The sequence below is a fragment of the Homo sapiens genome, chromosome 5, assembly GCF_000001405.40.
Source record: "Homo sapiens chromosome 5, GRCh38.p14 Primary Assembly".
NCBI lineage: Eukaryota > Metazoa > Chordata > Mammalia > Primates > Hominidae > Homo > Homo sapiens.
In genome coordinates, this window is record NC_000005.10 from 139039282 (window position 1) to 139062846 (window position 23565).

Here is a 23565-nt window from a genome sequence, read left to right on the forward strand (position 1 = left end):
CAGAGTACAGCTTGCTACTACCACCAAATAGCAGGCAGAAATCCAGACTCCCCACCTCAATGTCCACTGCACTGGCACTAAGTGGGGTGGGGAGATTTTCATTATCTTTGGCAGGAGTTGGACAGGTATTGTAAATAAGGTTTCTATCCTGTTAGGATGCCCTTTGCTCAATTCTTTGTCTAGAAATAGCAGGCTTTTCTTATAACTTTTTAAAATCTGCACCAGTTGACATTTTCAGGATGTGGGATTTGCCAACACTCAGTCTAAAATATATAGAGGACAAAAAGAAAATCCAAGGAACTCACTGATGTCATTCCCCAAGCTCCAAGGTCCCTAGCCAGTCTGCTGCCTTCTGACTGTGTTTTAGAGTCTTCCTACATTTGCCTTTAGTATTATGTCCAGGGTTTTTAGTTACCCTTAGCTGGGGGAATAGGGAGAAATAAGTCTATTACATCTTGCCAAGAATCAAAAGCTTAAAAAGGCCATATCTTAAAAAACAATAATTTGTAGAATACAGGTGAACAATAGCAGACATAATAAAACATAAAAGCATCAAGCAATTTGTATGGAAATAGAGGGATAAGTAGACGAGATTCAACCATAACAACCAAATCTGCTGGGAGAGACAGCTTTTCCAAGAACCAAGGAACTCCGGGAAAGACTGATTCACTTAAACCTACCAAGCTACCGATGGATACAATATAATTGATGTTCTCGTCCCCAAAAACATCCAGTTCCCAAAAACCCACTCATTTAATTAAGAGGATATGGCCGAATATCTGACAGTATTGTCTATATAAATCACAAAAGCACCATCCTGTACTAACAAGACACCACATAGGCTAGGTTTAAAGATTAATAAACAAAAATAGGATGATATCTGTAGCCAAAAGCTTGATATATGTAAGAAACTCCCCAACCAATTTCAAATCCATTTATTTGCCAATCCCAGTGCCAGCTCGATGAGCACATTGGCAGTGAGCTGAGTCAGTCCAGATAGGCTCCAAATGAAAAGCAGGAGAAGGATGCCAGGACTTAGCACCTCAGTGATGGTGCTAACAACCTAAGTTCCACATAAGTAAGGAAAGAGTATGATAGCCAGACCTCAGAGGTGTGCAGCTGGTGCAAATGAGCTGGAGCTTGGGTCTTGCATTTGGGTGCTGATATTGGGATCCCCTTGCAAGGGGAGAGGAGTATTTTTTCTTTTTTCTTTTTTCTTTTTTTTTTTTTTTTTGAGACAGAGTTTCTCTCTTGTCACCCAGGCTGGAGTGCAATGGTGCAATCTAGGCTCACTGCAACCTCCACCTCCCGGTTTCAAGTGATTCTCCCACCTCAGCCTCTGGACTATCTGGGACTACAGACACATACCATCATGCCCGGCTAATTTTTGCATTTTCAGTAGAGACGGGGTTTCACCATGTTGGCCAGGCTAGTCTCAAACTCCTGACCTCAGATGATCCACCCGCCTTGTCCTCCCAAAGTGCTGCACCCAGCCGAGAGGAGTATTTTTAATTACAAAAACCAGCAACTAAAACTTTTAAGTAATCTCTTGGTTATACATTTTGAAATACTTTTATAAATATTCATACTTTTCTACACTAATTGAATTACTGGGGTGGGGGGAAATGCCATCACCTGAGAAAAGAAAAGCCAAACACACTCCCAGGGAAAGCAAAGAGAAGAGAACAAGGTTAAGTGGGTCCTCCATCCACAGAGAAGACGCTGAATAGGAGCTGTTTAATGTTCCCATCAGTCCCACATGGAACCGACAGTGGGTGGGAAGGAGCCAAAGCCCTGGCCAGTCCCTGTCCTAGGCACCCAGGCACTCCTCTGCTGGCCTCACCTGTACCAGGCAGAAGATGTGCTTCTCCTCAGCCCCTTGGCTAATACATCTGTGGTAGGACACAATTGCGAGCATTGCCTTCCTTCACCCACTGCTGCTGCCACCAAGCCACGTGCCCTCCCACACCACATACACTCTCCGTGTAGGAGAAGTGACTTTGGTAAGATGAGTAAAGACGTGGAGACTGAGCCTGCATTTCACACTTCTTAAACAGGTAAACACCAGTTTCCTATCCCCCAAAAAGGTTCATTTTCCCAGAAATATTTAGTTCTAAAGGATCAGAACAACCTATGGCTTCTTCCAGTAATACACAAGCTGTCAAGAGGCTAATGCTGTCTCTCTAGGACATTACCTGGATTCAGGGGAAGGAGTGAAGAGGTAAATAAAGGCAAATGAGTGCCCAGCACGGTGGTTCATGCCTGTAATCCTAGCACTTTGGGAGGCCAAGGTGGGCAGATCATTTGAGGTCAGGAGTTCGAGAGCAACCTGGCCAACATGGTGAAACCCCATCTCTACTGAAAACATAAAAATTAGCTGAGTGTAGTGGCAAGCACCTGTAATCCCAGCTACTCAGGAGGCTGAGGCAGGAGAATCGCTTGAACCCAGGAGGTGGACCTTGCAGTGAGCCAAGATCGTACCACCGCACAAACAACAAGGCCATCTGGGCGACAGAGCAAGACTCCAACTCAAAAACAAAAAAAAAAAAAAACAAAAAAAAGCAAATGGGGACTGTAAGGAGAAGAGGGAGGGAGAACTTAGGTCTCTAAGGCAGCCATCAGAGAAGGTTCTTTCAAAAACTGACAGGACTCAAACAGAAATACAGAGAAATGACTCCAAGAGCTCATGATCTTCCTGGTATAGACCTGCACCTGTGAGCCCTCCCAGACATTAGGGGCATGGCCAAGGGGCTGTAATTCTTCACCTTTTCCTCCTCTCATTCCCTTAGCTTGTAGAGAAATTTAGAGCTGGAGGAAACCTCAGTCATCCTCTTGTTCCAGCCCCATGTTTTAAATTTAAGGAATCTGAAGCCTAGAAGAAACACATTTGCTACATGTTCAAAGGACAAGGACAAGGATTCCGGCTTCTTGCTTCCTGGGCCAGCTCCTCTGTTCTTTTGGAACAAGCTTGTGTCTAATCCAAGTGTAAGTGAGGCAGAGATCTGGGCCATAAAGTCTACTCACTCCACTCAGGCCTGTGATAATGGAGAGAATGGCTACCCCTGCTCAGTGCCTCAATTTCTCCAAACATGGGGAGCTGTTTGAAGACATGGGATGGCAAATAGAATTCTAACCTAAACCATGACAGAAATGCTCCCAGCACTTTTTTTTTAATAGTCTAAAAGGGTTTCTTATTTGTCATTAATGTTCTTTAAATTATTTTACAATATTGTTATCCCATGTTTATTGCAAGAGTTCCCATAAAAATGATTCCATTCTCTGCAAAGACAACAAGGCCATGCTGCAGGCTTATACTCACAGGAAAAATAATCACACACCTTGTCTTCCTTTGAACTCTCCATCTCTGCCCCCTCCTTGAATTTTGCCAGTGCACTCTTGAGATCCTGAGATGTGTAGGTGTTGGTGTTGATATCCAGCCTGTCCAAAGAAAACTGAGAGTAAAGAGGGAGGCATGGCTAGGCTTGGTGGCTCACAGTTGTAATCCCAGTACTCTGGGTGGCCAAGATGGAAGGATACCAAGATCCCATCTCTACAAAAAATTTAAAAATATTAGTTAGGATGTGATGGTATGTGCCTGTGGTCCCAGCTACGTGGGAAGCAGGAGGATCACTTGAGCCCAGGGGTTCGAGGCTGTGGTAAACTATGATTGTGCCACCATACTCCCACAGCTGGGCAACAGAGTCAGACCCTGTCTCTAAAAATAAATAAGAGGGGAGCATCATATTCCCCAAGAAAGAAAATGTCCCTGGGTGAATGGCACCCTAAGGTAAGTGAGGCCAGGCCAGCTGAGTGTACTATCATACCTTTGTCTTCAGTCAGCCAAGGGTCTAACAGAGTGACCTTACCTTGAAGCTAGAAGAGGAAAGACGCAGCTGAAAATGGGATCATTTCATGAAAGAGGAAGCAATGGCATGGGGCAGACAGAAGCCATCCACGAACAGAGGGCTCTCAGCCAGCTTCTCAGGAAGAAATAAGCCTGGCATAACTGTGCAATGCTCTCCCTCAGCACGCTGCCAGGGCAGGACCTCTCAGAGGGAAGTGGGCCCAGCCACAAGGAGTAGCATGCACCCTTATCTATTAATATATTTTTCCATGAAAGGGGACAACAGGGCCCTGAGCCCCACAGTGTGTGCCTGAACTGATTAGACAAGGCAGCCTGTCTTTACAAAAACAAGTTGGATAGATTCACACCATAAGACCAACCTATGAGCACAAAGGAGAGGCAGGAGGTATGTCTCAACCTGACCAAGGAATGGATTTGAGATACTAAGGAGTAGAATCAAGGTCAGCCCCTTCCACAGCCAGCCTCCAAAGGGAGGAGGGAAAGGAACCAATGTGGCTATAATCTCAGGAACCTGCCAAAGACCAGAATGGTCTCCTCACAAAATTCCCTGGAGCTGATCCAAGCCACAGCTACACATCTTGACCAGAGAGAGGACATCCATCATGTGGGAGCAAGGTTTTACCACTAGCATTCATTTTAGTTCAATGAACAGAGGTAAGCACAAGAATGATGTGCACGAAGGGAAGAGTGGAGTATGGAATGTGCTTAACAAGACTGTCAGGTTGGTGTTGGGTTCAGGATTCCATATATCCTGGAATGCCCACAAGATTTCAGAGGTGAGGAGGAAGGGGCTACTGGCCTGCTCTACTCCAGGCAGGAAGAGCACATCAGTCTCATAGTCTGAGATTCCAGCAGGCCTCAGCTCTCATGTACCAAGGGCTTTCATTCTTCCTAGAGACCTTTTAGGGCTCTGAGAAGAACACTCGTCTTCTCTAAACCTCAGTCCTCCTAAACTAATTAATAATAGCTAGTAACTCATTTATTGAGCATTTAGCCATGTGTTAGGCAGTGTGTTAATCCCTTCAAAGTAATATTTCATTCAAATAGTTATCACAATGCTACAAAGTAGGGAGAGAATCCTGAATCCCTCTCCCTACAGAGCATCATCCACTGCCAATGTGTGAGGATACCACTGCCCCACCCCACATACCCAAGAGGGAGCTAAGTATTCAGGAACCATAGCTTGAACACATTATCTCCTCCCTCTTGTAAGACTTGGTCAGGACTAATCCCATTATTCCGTGCATCTCTGTTTACGCCTTAAGTCTCAACTCTCCCAAGCCATCTCTCATCACCCACTCTCAGTCCCAACTACATACACACAAGCATGCACATGTGCACTCAAGTTCACGCACACACACGAAACAGTCATCTGGTGTTCTTACTTCATTCTTCACTAAGAAAAATAGACCAAAACTTCATTTTCCCATGATCAGCTCTACAAGCCAACCTGCACCTAAGTCTATGTTTTCTACTTTCCTTCCTATTATAATGGATGAGTGTCCCTGATCCTATTAAACTTAGTTCCAGATCGCAGTTGCCTTTACAAAAGCTTTAACTCCCATAATTACACCGCTCCCTCCTGCCTGCATCATCAATTTCTCCCTTCAGCTGGATTATTCCCATCAGCACACCAATTCTCCTGTCACTCCACAGTCTCTTCTGGTTATCCTGCCATTTCCCTGCTCTCACTCAGAGTAACACTTTATGAACACATTGTTTTCACTCACTATCCCCAGCTTTTTTATTCCTATTTATATTGCCATTTACTGTAATCTGGATTCTGTCCTCACAACTGTACTCACACTACTAATCAAAATTACCAATAATTGATGACCAAATCCGATGGACCCTTCTTCACTCACTTCATGTTCCTCAACCACTAAGCAGCATTTGCACAGTTGACCCTCCCTTCTTGAAAAACTCTCAGTCGGGTGTGGTGGGTCATGCCTGTAATTCCGGCACTTTGGGAGGCTGAGGAGGGAGGATTGCTTGAGCCCAGGAGTTCAAGACCAGTAAGGGCAACATAGTAAGATTCTGTCTCTACAAAAAAATTGAAAATTAGCCAGGCAAGGTGGTGTGCACCTGTGGCCCCAGCTACTCAGAAGCCTGAGGTGGGAGGATTGCTTGAGCCCAGGCTGTAGTGAGCCATGATTAGGCCACTGCACTCCAGTCTGGGCGACAAAGCAAAACCCTGTCTCAAAACAAACAAACAAACAAAAAAAACCTCCTTTCCTGGCTTGTTACCTCACTCTCATGGCTCTTCCTCTTCCTTACTCCTTCTCCAACTCTTGCTGGTTCCTCATCTCCTACCTGAGCCACATAGCCCAGAATGCCTTGGAGTTCAGCCCTGTCAATCTTCTCCACCTCGACATCCTCCCCTAGTTACTTTAAAAACCTATCTGCCAGTAATCTCCACATTTACATCTCCAGCCCAACCTCTCCCCTGAGCACCAATCAGACTCTTGTACAACTACCTGATAGATCTGTATCTCAAATGTTTAACAAGTATTTCAAACTTATTGAATCTAAAACATGGCTCTTGATTCTTCTCCTTATAAGTCTGTCCCCCTCCCAACTTTTCTATTTCAATAAATAGTACCAACAACCACCCAGTTGCTCAAGTTCCAAAATGAGGCTTTATCCTGAATCTGTGCCCCTCCCTGCACCTTCCTTCAACCTCTACACTGAAATCATAAGCAAGTCCTCTTGAGTCTACCTCCAAATTAAATCTCCAAATTCATTCAGTCTCTGTTATGATACCCTAGACTAAGCCACCATTATGTCCTACCTGATCTACTGAAATGACATCCTAATTCTGTCTTCTTTTGTCCACCTTCAATCTCATCTCCAGACACATAGTAACTAAATCACTCTCCTGCCTAAAATCTTCCAATGGCAGCTGGGCGCGGTGGCTCATGCCTGCAATTCCGGCACTTTGGGAGGCCGAGGCGGGCAGATCACGAGGTCAGAATTTCAAGACCAGCCTGGCCAACATGGTGAAACTCCGTCTCTACTAAAAATACAAAAATTGGCTGGGTGTGGTGGCAGGCACCTGTAATCCCAGCTACTCGGGAGGCTGAGGCAGGAGAATTGCTTGAAGCCAGGAGGCGGAGGTTGCAGTGAGCTGAGATGGTGCCACTGCACTCCAGCCTGGGTAGCAGAGCAAGACACCGTCTTATGGGGAAAAAAAAAATCTTCCAATGGCTTTCCATTACAATTAAAGGTGAATGAAGAACATACAAAATCTTCCTCAAAAGCCACATGATCTGGCCCCCACATACCTCTCCAATCTCATCTCCTATCGATTTCCTTCCTTCTCTCTTCTCCTATAGTCACCTTGATCATTTTCTTGCTTCTCATACTTGACAAAGCCTTTTCCTTGATAAAGCCTGGGACTTCCTGTTGTTCCATCTGTCTGAAATGCCCTAACTCCTAAACCTATAAACCTAACCCTTTACATAAAGAGTTAATTATTCTTTTTGTCCATATCATCCTTGTTCTTACCTCTGTTCCCTGAATTGAAATAAGGACTAGTGGTAAAACCTTGCTCCCCAATGGATGTCTTCTCTCTAGTCAAGCTACATGGCTGTGGTTTGGATCAGCTCCAGGGATCTCAGTGAGGATACCAATCCAGTCTTTGACAGGTTCCTGGGATCAGCCACATTGGTTCCTTTCCTTCCTCCCTTTGGGGCCAGTTAATTAATCTATGATTAATTCCCAATACTTTCATGTTTTAGAACAGGGTCAGCAAACTATCAGTAATGACCAGATAATATCTTACTTCTGTGCTTATGTACCTGGTTTTCTGTCTGCCAGCCTTGTGGAGGCTGTTTTGTTTATTACTGTATCCCAATGCCTGGCACGTGGGCACTCAATAGGTTTTTGTGAAATAAATAAATGGAGGAAGTAAATGGCCCTGTCCTTAGCCCAACCTTTTAACCACTATACCATATTGGACCTTGGTAAATGTTCAACCCAAGATGGCACAACTTGAACGTGGTTTTACCCTCAGTCCTCCAAACCTAGGAGGAAGAGTCCAAGAAGCTGGTTATTCCAGGGCAAAAAGAGAGATGTACTACGTTGACAGGGATATGGACTAAAACCACTAGAGATGGCAAAGCCTAAAGCATAAATAGCAAGTGGAAACCTGTTGCTAAGGGCCAACTACATGCAATGAAATAAGGCAGTGCTAAAGGAACTCTCTGAGACAAGCCAGAGTCAGGGTCTTCTGTCCCAGGCTTTAGAGCCCACAAGCATTGCAGCTCTAGGTAGCAATGTGGCCAGCCACACAACCAGTAAAAATAGTAGAAAGACTGCCATGAATTTTGGATTAATGGGCTGTCCCCATCTCCCTCTAGGCCAATGGTTCTTAACTCTGTGGGATCACTAACTTCTTGGACAATTTCATGGAAAGCTATGGATTTTGTCCTCTAAAACAGAATAAGGATATAAGCAAAATACTCTAACAATTTCAGGGAACTGACCCTGCCCTTAGGCCTCTGTTCCTATTCCAGTGCTAAGGGGCCAGGAAGACACCATGAAATGGAATTGGAGGAGCTCCATCCCAGAAGTAGGAAGTCACCATCAAAGGCTCACTGAGCTCACAGCACTGAATGTTCACACCACCTTGTCAGTGCCTTTGGACTTCTATTCAGATAGGTTTGCCATTAGCTATAAATGCTGAGAAGGAAGAAGAAAGGTCCAGCATATGCTAGGGGCCATTTCAGGCAGAGACTCTCCAAAGGAGGAAAGTAAAAAGGCAGGAGTAGGGACAAATATTTCTCCCTTATGGTGTGTCTCTACAGTTCACATGGACGGCTCTGCTGTCTATTCGTAAAAGATATGAGTAACAGACAAAGCAGTACGTGTTCACACTGATAATCTATAGTCAGGTGGTAGAGAAGTGAGTTCTCATAGTATAAAAACCAACAAATAAACTCCAAATTAATAAAATTCCTCAGTATTATTTTTGTAAAGGGATTTTATTTTTTATTTATATATTTTGCTTATTTATTTTTTCAGATAGGGTCTCACTGTGTCACCCAGGCTGCAGTACAGTGGCATAATCACGGCTTATTGCAGCCTCAACCTCCCCAGGCTCAGGTAATCCTCCCATCTCAGCCTCCTGAGTAGCTGGGACTACAGGCATAATACACACCACACACCCAGCTAATTTTTGGTTTTGGTGTTTTTTTCTGTTTTGCTTTTTTTTGTTGTTGGTTTTTTTTTTTTTTTTTTTTTTTTGAGACAGGGTCTGGCTCTGCCACCCAGGCTGGAATGCAGTGGTACGATCTTGACTCACTGCAACCTCTGCCTCCCAGGCTCAAGTGATCCTCCCAACTCAGCCCCACGAGTAGCTGGGACTACAGGCGTGTGCCACCACCTCCAGCTAATTTTTATATGTTTTGCAGACACACACCCTGTCGCTGGTGTGTGTCTTCAAATCCTAGGCTCAAACGATCCACCCGCCTCAGCCTCCCAAAATGTTGGTATTACAGGTGTGAACCACTGTACCCGGCCCCTAACTCAATATTCATAAGCTAAGAAAAGAATAGATTGTTTTCTTCAGAAAATAAGACTTGGATTACATGTGAGAAAAGACTTCCTAAAAGTACTTTGAGGCACTGAAATATGTGTGTATTGTGGACGAAAGAAGTTTGGCAGGGGCCGTGACAATGACAGCTGATTATTTCTTACATGGTTGTTAGAAAGGAGTAATTGTCTGACCTGGGCCACTCCAAGTATAGGCCTACCTGGAGGAATGAGGGAAGATGAAAGATCCTTCCCAATTTGGAGTGACTGTAAGGAGAACAAATGCCTCTATCTCAATATGAAGTAGAATTTTCTAACAGTGAAAACTGTCTAAATCTGAACAGGCTGTTTTGTGGGGTGAGTGCCACCTGAAAAAAGTGCACATGGACCAGCTGAGTGACCTTCTGACAGGCATGTCAAGGAAAAGACTAGGGTAAGAAGTGAGTCTCTAGGACCTCCTTCTGATTACATCTAACTGCAAAATACTGGGTTTTTGTTTTAGTTTTTCTGAGACAGAGTCTCGCTCTGCCACCCAGGCTGGAGTGCTGTGGCAAGATCTTGGCTCATTGCAATTTCTGCCTCCCAGGTTCAAGCGATTCTTCTGCCTCAGCCTTCTGAGTATCTGGGATTACAGGCACCTGCCACCACACCCAGCTAATTTTTGTTTGTATTTTTAGTAGAGACAGGGTTTCATCATGTTGGCCAGGCTGGTCTCGAACTGCTGACCTTAGGTGATCCGCCGGCCTCGGCCTCCCAAAGTGCTGGGATTACAGGTGTGAGCCACCACGCCCGACCTGCAAAATACTGTTTAAATTATAAAATCCAGGCTGGGCACAGTGGTCCACATCTGTTATCCCAGCACTTTGGGAGGCCAGGGCAGGAAGATCACTTGAGTCCAGGAGTTTAAGACCAGCCTGAGCAATAAAGTGAGACCCTGTCTCTACAAAAAAATTTAAAAAAATTAGCCAGGCATAGTGGCACACACCTGTAGCCCCAGCCTACTCAGGAGGTTGAGACAATGAGATTGCTTGAGCCCAGGAGTTTGAGGTTACAGTGAACTATGATCACACCACTTTACTCCAGCCTAGGCAACAGAGCAAGACCCTATCTCTAAAAAAAAAAAAAAAAAAATCATCATCATCATCATCCAAGGACTGAGTAACACTAACCACACTCAATCCATAACTAATAATTCCCAGTGCTTACACGTGTTAGCACAGGGTCAGCAAACTGTCTGTAATGACTGGATACTATTTTAGGCTCTGTGATCCATATGGTGTCTGTCCCAATTAATCAACTCTGTCATTGTAGCAAGAAAGCAGCCATAGACAATATGTAAACAAATGAGCATGGCTGTGTCCCATTAAAACTTTATTTATGGACATTTAAATCTGAATTTCATACATTTTCATGAGTCATGAAATACTACCTTTTGATTTTTTTCCAACCTTTAAGAAATGTAAAAACCAATTTCACTTGCAGGCTGAACCAAAGCAGGGAGCAGTCCCAATAAGGCCCACAGGCCATAATTTGCTGGTCCCTGTGTTAGAAATTTCATGGCTGGTATTTCTACTGAGCTTTCAAAATGCACAATTTCAGCAACCCCTGCAACTCCATGCCTCAACCTCCTTCCCCCTCATTCAGGAAATATCAAGCAAAGAAAGCATGCTAATTCAAGGCAACAAAAGAAAAATAGTGACACTGAATTCTCTAAAATTGAATAATATAACCTGGTTATTGAGAAATAAGGCAACCTCTAGCCAGTGGAGAATGGCAGTAGCTTCTACTTTTATACTATAAGAAGGCCTGTTTTAATACTGACTAATGAGAGGAAAAGTTAGCCTGAATTAAAGACTTTAAAATGCAATTTTATTGTTCACCAAGGAAGTATTACTGCAAAGCAGAAGGCCTAACAGGCCTGTTTTAATGAATAGATGACTCATCTGTAATCAGTGCATTAATTGTTGGGATTCAAATGGGTGCTCTTAAAGTACTGGGAAAAATAGTTTCATTTTTAAAGCAGGTTAAGCATTCCCCCTACAGCCTTTTTTAAAGTATCAATTTGCTTTGCAAACTATCTCTTTCCAAAGACTGTAGAAGTAAACTTTCATAAAACCCTGACAGATTTATCACAAATTCTATGCTATTAAATTTCAAATTAAAAAAAGCCACATGAATTTGGGTAACATTTTAAGTATTACAATACAAAATCAACGTTATCACTTAGCCTCCCAGTCCCTAGGGTTGACACTGTACCTTTTGCCTTTCAAATTATTTCGGAACTTGTCCTCATATTGGAGTTTTGCCTCTCTTTCCCCAGTCTGAAGATTCAGCCGTACGTGGGATCCTGCAGGGACAGCCTGCCCTAAAAGCCAAGAAGAGAAAAGGCTCATGAGGTACAAGGTCTTTGGAAGGCTGTCGGGATGGCCAGCAAGCCAACAGGACTTACTAGTTCATGAAGACACGACTCAGCTGTGTTCAGTTACCTCCTCAATCCACCCATCCCTCTCCCTTGAACACACACACCACTCGCATAAACTCACTTTGCTAATCTATAAGGAAATCTGTAAGGGAATGACGTAAGATGGGCAAGAGGATTCACACTTGAATCTAGAGACCAATGTCCCCCAGTTAGAACCTGCATATTTAAGCTCTTCTATGTCTTCTTGAGCTAATAAAAGCTTTGTGTTACGTGCAGCAGGTAAGTGGTAGATAACTACTCATTCCTCAGGACATGCTACTTTACCGTCTCTTCCATGACACCCTTCCTGCCCCTCCTCGACAGTCAGTCCCACAGGGCCCCAGACAGCCTGCCATCCCAGCAAGCTTACACCTCACCACCTGCATCTGTTTAATTAGGCTCCTTCTATGAGGCTCTCTCCTTCCTAAGCACAGGGACTGTATTTCCTCCTTTTTGATTTCCCAGCCCTTAGGCCAGGGCTTGGCACATAAAAGTGTGGCACTTAACGTTATGAAAAGGAAGAAGGAAGAGACTGGAAGGCAAGAGGACAGAGCAAGCCAAGGAGGCAGGGAGTGGAGCCAAGAGAAACTGAAAACCTACACCCACCTATCTATGGAGCTGATCCACAGCTGGGAAAAACAAGTGTTGTGAATCGATGGGCTATTCCTATGCACTGCACAAAACTACTCAAGTATAGTTAAAAAGCAACTGTGCAGTAGCACATACTACAAATGGAATGCTACACACATTCATTCATTCATGAAACTGCTGTAGGGATGGAGAATTTCAGGGAAAAGGTTTTTCAGGAGATGGGAGATTTGAAGCAAAGATGGTGCTTCTGACAACCTGGACTTTGACTCTGCTTTCTCCTGCCAGAGGACAGCATTGCCTTGCTGGTGTTAAGTTTGATTTAAGAACCCAAATCAATGACTTTCAGAAAAAATTCCTCCGAAGGAAGCACACAGCACAAGTTCTCTCAAATAATCAGGTAAACTCAAGTATAGAAGGATAATGATATAGGCAAGTATTCACCAGTTCTCGCAATTCTGGGAGGCCCATAGAGAACTCTGAGTTCCACCAGTCACTCTATCCCCAATCAAGATGCCAGGGATATCGCACACCATGCTGTTGCTGTTCCTGCCGTCCCACTTCAGTAGGGAGTTTCTGTATGTTTTACTTTAAAAAATGGGAACCTACATACAGTATATAGAAGTATGTGCATAATGATCTCCCTCTAACCCCAACCATTATTTTCAAGGATAAAAAATACATTCAGGCCAGGCATGGTTGCTCACACTTTGGGAGGCCAAGGCAGGTGGATCACCTGAGGTCAGGAGTTCGAGACCAGCCTTGGCAAATGGTGAAACCCCATCTCTACTAAAAATACAAAAATTAGCCAAGTGTGGTGGCAGGAACCTGTAATCTCAGCTACTTGGGAGGCTGAGGCAGGAGAACTGCTTGAACCTGAATGGTGGAGGTTGCAGTAAGCCAAGATCACGCCACTGCACTCCAGCCTGGGCAACAGTGCAAGACTCCGTCTCAAAAAAAAAAGTTCAGAGCGCAGTGGAAAAATCCTTCTCTGGGGTGGCCCTCCTGATAAAGTTGGGGTCAAATGAAGAAAAAAGCGAGTCCCAGACTAGGAATAAAGGGAATACCAGAGTAAGGAAGCCCCATGTGCAAATGCACTGACACGGAACCCAATAGGCCACAGAAGCTGAGGAGAGACTAGGCCACAGAACTAACTGGAAGGGCTGTGGGGGCTGCTGGCTTGGTACCACCAGGAAGCCTGGGTTCATATTCCTAGGATGGGAAAATATTCATCAAACAGCGGCGGAAGATGGTTCTGGGAGGAGAGGAGGCTGAATACTGGCAAGAATAACAAAGAACTGGCAACTTCTATCCTATTACTATGATCACAGGGCAAGAGGTAATTTCTTTAGTACTAATCTAATCTCTGAATGTGTGAAGGGGAGAGGCTGCCTCACCTGGAGAGATCCCAAACTGACAAGACAATAGTCCCTTCCTGGATGAATGCTAAACAAGACAATAGTCCCTTCCTGGATGAATGCTAAACAAGACAATAGTCTCTTCCTGGATGAATGCTAAAATGCCAGCCCCCTTTACTCTACCACATTGATACCCAATCTACCTCCCAAACTGGTTGATTTTTCCTGCTATGTATGTCTTGAATGCATACTCTTCTCTCCATCTTCCCCCACTGCTTTTGTCTGAACCATCACCATCTCTGATCTGCGCCCTATCACAGCTTTCTAACTGGCCTCCCCGATTCACCTCCCAATCAAACTGTTCTTTAAAGCGAATGATTTTTCTTTTCCAAAATACCAAACCTATGTCATTCTCCTGCTTCAAACCTTTTCATGGCTTCCTACTATTCTGAGGATAAAAATGAAAATCCTCACCCTGGTCCATGAGGCCCTGCAGTATCTGGCCCCAGCCTACCTCTCCAGCCTTGTCCACTCCTCATTCCTGTGCTCTAGGCACACTGGTCTTTTTCCATCCTTCTGAAAGAACCATGCTACCTCCTACCAGGGGGCCATTCCATCTGCTGTTCCCTTTGTCCAGAAGAGTCTTCCCACCCTCAGCCTCCATCTCCTCATCCTTCCAATCCCAGCTAAAGTCACTTCTTCTGAAAGGCATCCTCTATTTTCTCAGACTAGATTTACCTGCCTCCAAAAGATTTCACAGCACCATGAATCCTTTATAGCACTCACCACAATCAGTAATTACACATTAGTTTTTTTATTTATGTAGTGAATATAAATGCTCACCATTTTATCCTCAGGGCCTATAACATGACCTGGCTGGCATATAGTGAACTCTCAATAATTATTTGTTGGTCAAGTGAGGAGGCCCTTGCCTATAGTCCCAGCACTTTGGGAGGCTGAGACGAGGGGATCACCTGAGCCCAGGAGTTAGAGACCAGCCTGAGCAACACAATGAGATCCCATCTCTAGAAAATAATTTAAAATTAGCTGAGTGTGGTGGCTCACACCTGTAATTCCAGCACTTTGGGAGGCCAAGGCAAGTGGATCACTTGAGGCCATGGGTTGGGCAACACAGTGAGACCCCGTCTGTACAAAAAAATTAAAATAAAAAAATTAGCCAGGCACAATGGCATGCTCCTATAGTCCTAGCCACTTGAAGTCTGAGGTGGGAAGATTGCCTGAGCTCAGGAGTTCAAGGCAGCAATGGGCTATGATCATGCCACTGCACTCTAGCCTGGGCAACAGAGTGAGAACTTGTCTCTAAATTAAAAAAATAATAATTATTTGTTAAGTGAAAATGTTTAAAAGAAAGAGGGAATTCCTAGCTGATCTAGAGTTATATGGAAAGGCCAAGAAGGATTTTTACTAGGGCAGGTTGAGTTATAATAGTAATTAGTCATGTTAATAGTTATTTTTAGTAATAATGGTACTAATACTAGTAATATAATAAAAATAGTATTTAAAATTTTCAAACTTTTGACCAAAGTTAGAAATGGAAAAGAAAAAAGCATGTAAGTGTATAAGCTTCAGAAGTAATAGGTTATAGTGTGCTAAGCTCGCCAAAGAAGAGACTAGGTTCTTATGTGAATCTAGTTATTTTGATGAAAATTCCAAAATTACTCCCTTCACATAAGCCACCACAGGGGGCAAGAGCAACCACAACAGCATTAACTCAAAATACAGGTTGTGTTCATTTAAAATATACTAAACACGTCATGGCAGCAGCAGTGGCAAAAGCAACAGGAAATGCAGTATTTCAAATACTTCTCCACTGGGGAAATGTCCAAGTTAGAAAGATAGTATAATCTGACCTGTATCCTTCGAGAGCCCCTGTGACAGATGAAAATGTACCAGAACACAGGGGAAGGGCAAATCAGAGCAAAGAGAAAACAAGATACATACAGGTAACAAGTTAGGGGGATGGAGAGCAAGGGTACAGGCAGAAAATAATGTCTGGATCCAGGAAGGCAAACAGGCCTGCAAAGCCTACAGTGTCTGTTTTCCCACCTCCAGCTCCTTCAGAGCTGATCCCAAGGCTGACTATCCTAGCCTAGAAAACCCATCCATATTAAGCAGAAGCCCTGTCCATATTGAGTAAGGCCACCTCATGCTTGAATTTTGACTCCCACTGACACTGTCACTGACTTCAGTCACAGGCCAGGACCCAGATAACAACTCTTGTTTTCTGGGTTGGGGGATAATCTATGGTAGACTGCAACATCGTCACCAATTTTTTTCCTCCCTGCTTGTCACACTCTCTGCCATGTGACTTTACAGTTCCTCCTACTGCAGAGTGTGCCTTCTCACACCTTGACTTTGGATTTTGCTTATCACATGCATTGGCCAGTGGGATGCTAGCAAATGGGCCGCAAACAGATGTTTGAAATGTGCTTGCATGGTTGTATCATGTTCTGCTATTGTCATGAAAAGAACATCACTGACTCTCCCTCTCCCTCTCCCTCTCCCTCTCCCCCTCTCCCCCTCTCCCCCTCTCCCTCTCCCCACGGTCTCCCTCTCCCTCTCCCCACGGTCTCCCTCTCCCTCTCTTTCCACGGTCTCCCTCTGATGCCTAGCCGAAGCTGGACTGTACTGCTGCCATCTCGGCTCACTGCAACCTCCCTGCCTGATTCTCCTGCCTCAGCCTGCCGAGTGCCTGCGATTGCAGGCACGCGCCGCCACGCCTGACTGGTTTTCGTATTTTTTTGGTGGAGACGGGGTTTCACTGTGTTGGCCGGGCCAGTCTCCAGCTCCTAACCGCGAGTGATCCGCCAGCCTCGACCTCCCGAAGTGCCGGGATTGCAGACAGAGTCTCCTTCACTCAGTGCTCAATGGTGCCCAGGCTGGAGTGCAGTGGCGTGATCTCGGCTCGCTACAACCTCCACCTCCCAGCCGCCTGCCTTGGCCTCCCAAAGTGCCGAGATTGCAGCCTCTGCCCGGCCGCCACCCCGTCTGGGAAGTGAGGAGCGTCTCTGCTTGGCCACCCATCGTCTGGGATGTGAGGAGCCCCTCTGCCTGGCTGCCCAGTCTGGAAAGTGAGGAGCGTCTCTGCCCGGCCGCCATCCCATCTAGGAAGTGAGGAGCGCCTCTTCCCGGCCGCCATCCCATCTAGGAAGTGAGGAGCGTCTCTGCCCGGCCGCCCATCGTCTGAGATGTGGGGAGCGCCTCTGCCCTGCCGCCCCGTCTGGGAGGTGAGGAGCATCTCTGCCCGGCCAACCCGTCTGAGAAGTGAGGAGACCCTCTGCCCCACAACCACCCCGACTGAGAAGTGAGGAGCCCCTCCGCCCGGCAGCCACCCCGTCTGGGAAGTGAGGAGCGTCTCCGCCCGGCAGCCACCCCGTCCGGGAGGGAGGTGGGGGTCAGCCCCCCGCCAGGCCAGCCGCCCCGTCCGGGAGGGAGGTGGGGGGGTCAGCCCCCCGACCGGCCAGCCGCCCCGTCCGGGAGGGAGGTGGGGGGGTCAGCCCCCCGCCCGGCCAGCCGCCCCATCAAGGAGGGAGGTGGGGGGGTCAGCCCCCCGCCTGGCCAGCCGCCCCGTCCGGGAGGGAGGTGGGGGCGTCAGCCCCCCGCCCGGCCAGCCGCCCCGCCCGGGAGGTGAGGGGCGCCTCTGCCTGCCCGCCCCTACTGGGAAGTGAGGAGCCCCTCTGCCCGGCCACCACCCCGTCTGGGAGGTGTACCCAACAGCTCATTGAGAACGGGCCATGATGACAATGGCGGTTTTGTGGAATAGAAAGGGGGGAAAGGTGGGGAAAAGATTGAGAAATCGGATGGTTGCCGTGTCTGTGTAGAAAGAAGTAGACATGGGAGACTTTTCATTTTGTTCTGTACTAAGAAAAATTCTTCTGCCTTGGGATCCTGTTGATGGGTGACCTTACCCCCAACCCTGTGCTCTCTGAAACATGTGCTGTGTCCACTCAGGGTTAAATGGATTAAGGGCGCTGCAAGATGTGCTTTGTTAAACAGATGCTTGAAGGCAGCATGCTCGTTAAGAGTCATCACCACTCCCTAATCTCAAGTACCCAGGGACACAAACACTGCGGAAGGCCGCAGAGTCCTCTGCCTAGGAAAACCAGAGACCTTTGTTCACTTGTTTATCTGCTGACCTTCCCTCCACTATTGTCCTATGACCCAGCCAAATCCCCCTCTGCGAGAAACACCCAAGAATGATCAATAAAAAAAAAAAAAAGAAAAGAAAAGAACATCACTGCTAGCCTTCTGGTCCAAGAAGGATGAGACACCCACGGAGAAGAAACAAGTCAGGGCTTCATGTGCACATGGTTTATTAAGGGGTGCTCTCCAGTTGACAGGAAATGAGGAGGCAGGGAGGACTTTGTACCCCCACCTGCCCCCTCCTGGCAGTCAGAGGCCGCAGGCTACCAGAGCAGGTGGAGGCAGAAGCTCTGGGCAAAGAAGCTTTGGCTCCTCAGAGGGGTCCAGGAACAGGTGGCAAGAGTGAGTCTTGAACCCCCACAGAGGCTGGGGAAGAAACACCCCCTATAGGAAAAGGAGATCCCAGGAAGTATGGGCAGGGAACCAAAAGCATCTGCTTTAATGGCTGTCTTAGAGTGTGTCCTAGTCCATTAGGAATCCTATAACAGAGTAACTTAGACTGGGTAATTTATAAACAATACAAATTTATTGCTCACAATTCTGGAGACTGGGAAGTCCAAGATCACACCAGCAGTTTCAGTGTCTGGTGAGAGCCTGTTCCTCACAGAAGGTGCCTTCTAAGTGTTTTCACATGGTGGAAGGGGCCAGGAGGCACCCTCAAGCCTCTTCACTAATCCTATTCATGAGGCGTGGAACTCTCATGACCTCATCACCTCCTAAAGGCCCCACCTTCTAATACTATCATACTGGGTATCAGGGGACAACCCAAATGTCCATCATGTGATAAATGAATTAATAAAAGTAGTATATCCATATAATATTATTCACCATTAAAAGGAGCAATAAATACTGCTACATCCTACAACATTGATGAACCTTGAAAACATTGTGCTAAGTGAAAGCCAGATACAAAAAAGCATGTATCATATGATTACTTTTACATGAAATGTACAGAATAGGCAAATCCATAGAAACCGTAGATTAATGGCTGTCAGGGGCTGTGGGAAGGAAGGAATGAGGATTGACCACTCGTGGTCTGGAGTTAGACAGTGGCAGTAATTGCACAACACTGTGGGTAAACTAAAAAAAAAAACACCAAATTACCAAGAAAAAAATCATGGGGGAAATACTTTCAGATTATACAAATCCATCCCTTGACTCTAAAAACCATTGCATGCCATTAGAGGAATCCATCTGCAACATTTACCACTGTGGTAATCATCTAATGGGAATTTGCTACTTCCCTCCTTCTTTACACATTTATTAATTGGGATTTATTTCACTCCAAGAAAAAATTGTCACTCCTCTAATTATTTGTATGAGTATGAACTCATGGATATTTTATTCTATGGGTCCAACACTATTATTATTTATTTTGTTACTCAAATTGTTTCAGCCTTAGCAATCAGAAGTGCCTTCAGGTTGGCTCTTACATTCCTTTGAAAAACCCTTCCTCCCCACCATCATTTTCTTTTTAAAAGTATTTCCTTACTTTCTGGTTCCATAAGATGTTCCAGGTTCATCTTGTATTTTCATTTCCCCAGCCCTGGAATCAGCCACTTCTAACGAGCCCTAGTTTTTTTTCTTTTTCTTTCTTTTTTCTTTTTTCAATTGGAGAACAGTGTTTAGAAGCCAAGATCTGGATGCTAGGTGTGTTCATTAATACTAGGGTGTTGGTATTTCTAAGCCCTCTCAGTAGGCGGAGCTAGAAATGTGTATGTGTGTGTGTGTGTGTAACAAAATACCTTAGACTGGGTAATTTATAAACAATACAAATTATATATACACACACAAATGTTAATTATATATATGTATATGTACACACACACATAGACATACATACATTTGTATATATATATGTGGTGATAAGGTTTGGCTGTGTCTCCACTTAAATCTCATCTTGAATTGTAGCTCCCTTAATTCCCACATGTCATGGGAGCCACCTGGTAGGAGGTAATTAAATCATGGGGGTGGGTCTTTCCTGTGCTGTTCCTGTGATGGTGAATAAGCCTCAGGAGATCTGATGGTTTTATAAAGGGCAGTTCCCCTGCACACGCTCTCTTTCCTGCTGCCATGTAAAGACATGACTTTGCTACTCATTCACCTTCCACCATGATTGTAAGGCCCCACCGGCCATGTGGAACTGTGAGTCCATTAAACCTCTTTCCTTTATAAATTACCCAGTCTCAGGTATGTCTTTATTAGCAGCATGGAAACTAATATATACAGCTTAGAATATTATATTACATATATTCTAAACCACATATACATATATGATTTAGAATAACATTCAGGCCCTCCATGTAATCATCAATCATTAATGTTTAAGGGACACTGAGTTCACTTTCTCTAATAATCTGTGCCAAAAGTAACAAAAGAGGACATCAACAGATGTACAATATATATACATACAGACATCTATATACATGCACACACCTATATTTCTTGCTATATTATTGTTGTGTGTATATATCCACACATCTATATTTCTATATCTATTTATCTGTATATATTTTTAAAACTACAAGTTTATACTGATAGTTCAGATTCCAATCTAATACACGGGCTCATTTGTCTTCTCACTTTACTTATTTATAACTTCTTTCTCTAACACTGAGAAACCTGCTCTTATTATCTACAATATATTTTTGTTCTAGTATACAAATAAACTAGTTTCAAAACTGTTAACCCATATCCCTGTGAGAAATACATTTACCAAACTAGATTACAGCATGTATGTACAGTTCTGTTTTTAGCTTTACAGTACCTGGTCAAAATATTGCTTCACAAAGTCACTTGGGTTAGTTCTTCCCTGTCCAATTCATTAAGGTTATGTTATTAATTAGTAATACTTGGTTCATTTGTTAGTATTTGTATTCCATTTTATGGCTCCTGCCCCTCCATATCCTGATTGGCTTAACTGTTTATTTGGTGAGCCTATGAAGAGTATGTGAACTATTACTGTGGTTCTAAGAGTCGGAGCTATAAAAAAGAACAGTGTTCTGTTCTCTTACATACTTTTTTTTTGTATAGTTACTGTTTTTTTAAGCCACCAGGATTTGAGGTGTTTATTGTGGCATTCATTCCAATGGTCCCGAAACAAGAAATTAAAAGTGCCCAATATAAATAACAGTTTTTTCTGAAATTATATAGTTGCTTTTTTGTGTTAAAATGTCCTTTTAAAAGATGAGATAATGATAGTAGATAGTGTGTTGTTTCCATGTTAAGGCCCTTAACTCAGCAAAATAAAAAGTTGGCCTTAGTCCTCCAATTTTTTTTTTTTTTTTAAGTTTTTCTGGTCCATAAAACACCATAGCCTAGAAACCACCTCTCCATTCTACCAATCTTCCCTAGGACATTTGAGAATTATTCCCATTGTACACTTTAAATAGGTGAATTGGATAGTATATAAATTATATCTCGATAAAGTGGTTGTAGAAATATATTCCTCCACCATCTCTTTTTAAATCCTTGAACAGCAATTAGTCTATCAGACACAGTTCAATGTGACAGTAAATATTTCTAGGGGCCAGGAAAGAGAACTAAGGCTCAGGGCCTAGACACAGACCCAGGAATGAAGTTCTTGGAACGTTAGGAAGGGGAAAATTAGCCTAGGAAGCCTGAGGCCATGAAGCACCAGGACAAGAGGAACCCTGGCAGAAGGACAGGTAAGAAATAGTGATCAGGAGGTAGGAGCCATGTCAAATGCCCACAGGAGGCAGGAGGCAAGAGAGTGAGGAGGTTCATCTGTAAGAAAACATGAATGGTGAGGGCTGTGAAAAATGCCCCTTCTAAAAGTATTCCACCTTAAATACAGAAAAGGCAAACAAAACATATGGCCAGTTTGTAACTGCTGAAATGATAGTTTTACCTATTAACAAATTATACCTGGCTCTGTCTTTGCCCCAACTCATCCCAGTGTCCAGTGCTTAGAAACTTGTCCCTCCTGGACTCCCAGTGACAGGGCCTGCTCAGGTGGTGCCCACAGTGAGGTTGCTGTGGAGCCTGGCTGCCCTGCTTCAACGAAGACAGGCCAACTGGAATGAATGCATGGTGCTCTTGGGTCTGCCTTGGCATTAAGAGCTTTGGTAGTTATGGGACTTCAGGAGGGGTGAAAAGGACAGGATGTCCTCCATAGGCTCCTGCCTGGAAACTTCCTGCTCCAGGGACTTCCAGTCATACGTGGACACAATGGCAGAAAGCCAGAGGCTGCCCCGGCTGGCCATGCCGCAAGCCCTGGGACTCTGCTCCTCACTTGGCTATCTTTGTTGGCTGGGTGACTCTAGCCAAATTCCTTTATGTTTCTGAATCTTCATGCCCTTATGTGTCAACTGAAAAGAATTTATCGTGTCTGTTTTCCCTAATGTGCTACATTGTTGTGAAGAACAAATGAAAAAAGAACTGTGTCAGTGCTCAGAAGAAATAAAAAGTACACCAGAAAAAGCAGTCCCAAAAACAACCCAAAAAGGTAAATGTCAACCCGGATGAAGCAAAGACAGCTTATTTGTCAAGTCCTACAGGTAGGTGTTAAGAGTAAAAACTCCCGGTTATGCTGAGTTTCTGAAGGGCAGGAACCAATTATTGGTGCCCACAGCTCAAGCTCAGCTCAAGGCACACAGTAGGCCTCCATAAAGGTCAGCTTGAATGCCAGCTCCCTCTTCCCCAGACCAAAAGGAATACAAAAATATAGAACAGGAAGCAATGCCACTCACCTCGCTGGGGCCTCCAAGCTCCTAATAGGGCTGGTCAGAGCTGAGGCTTTACAGGCCCAGTTGCCATGACTACTAAAGCCCTCTCCTCCTGCTTCTTTATTCAAAACCCCCGAACAAGTCTTGGCAAGATCCCTGCCTTACACAAATGAGCATCTATCCTGTCTCCAGGACTTGAACGGAACCAGTAACAAATAACGTGCACAAACCTCTCTAGGGTGCTGAACCCTGAAACAACACTTAATGTTATTGTGTTTTTAAGGGAACCAAAAATGGAGACCTTTTTTTTAAACAGCAAAATACATAATGAGCCATTCTGGATCATAGTCATATTTATGTATTTTTTAGAAGGACTAAACAATGACAAACTGAGAAAAATAGGAATATTCTCCAAATGTATTTTTACTCTGAATCACAGAGAATCTAGAATCTGGGCCGGGTCTTAGAAGAGTTACCCAGCATGGCTTCCAGGCAAGGGTAGAAATCCCCAAGCTGCATGAAAGCCGCTCAGAAAAAAAGACGCCAGTTTCCCCCAGGGAACAGCTACCCTGACAGCTCCCACCATACCCTTGCACCACTACCCCACTACCCTCCAAAATCTCATCCACAGCACCCTAACCCATGTCTCCTTTCCAGTCCTCAAGGAGGACAAACTACAGCTGGTGACCAACCATTCTACACAGAATTCACAAGAGTAACGCTTTCCACAGACAAGGACTATCAATGCTACTTAGATTTCCTGTGTTCTAGTGAGAGAGGTACCTTGAACCATCATCAGCACAAGGCTCAAAGTAACCACATTTAGGACATGGTGAGCCTCTTTCCATAAGTGGCTAGTCCACAAGCATCTCCTGAGGACTGGGCAAGAGTCTGCTCTTTTCCAGG

The 23565-nt window shown here is 44.7% G+C and overlaps 1 protein-coding gene across 5 annotated transcripts in view; it reads right to left on the reverse strand.

Moving 5' to 3' along the window:
* SIL1 (SIL1 nucleotide exchange factor) overlaps positions 1 to 23565 on the reverse strand; it is a 251645-nt gene that overhangs the window by 92558 nt on the left and 135522 nt on the right. For all 5 annotated transcript variants that reach the window (NM_022464.5, NM_001037633.2, XM_011543570.3 and 2 more), the window contains 2 exons: positions 11657 to 11765; positions 3339 to 3438 (listed from right to left, as the gene is read on the reverse strand). In NM_022464.5, the coding sequence (NP_071909.1) occupies positions 3339 to 3438; positions 11657 to 11765 (209 nt within the window). The remainder of the gene's footprint in view (positions 1 to 3338; positions 3439 to 11656; positions 11766 to 23565) is intronic.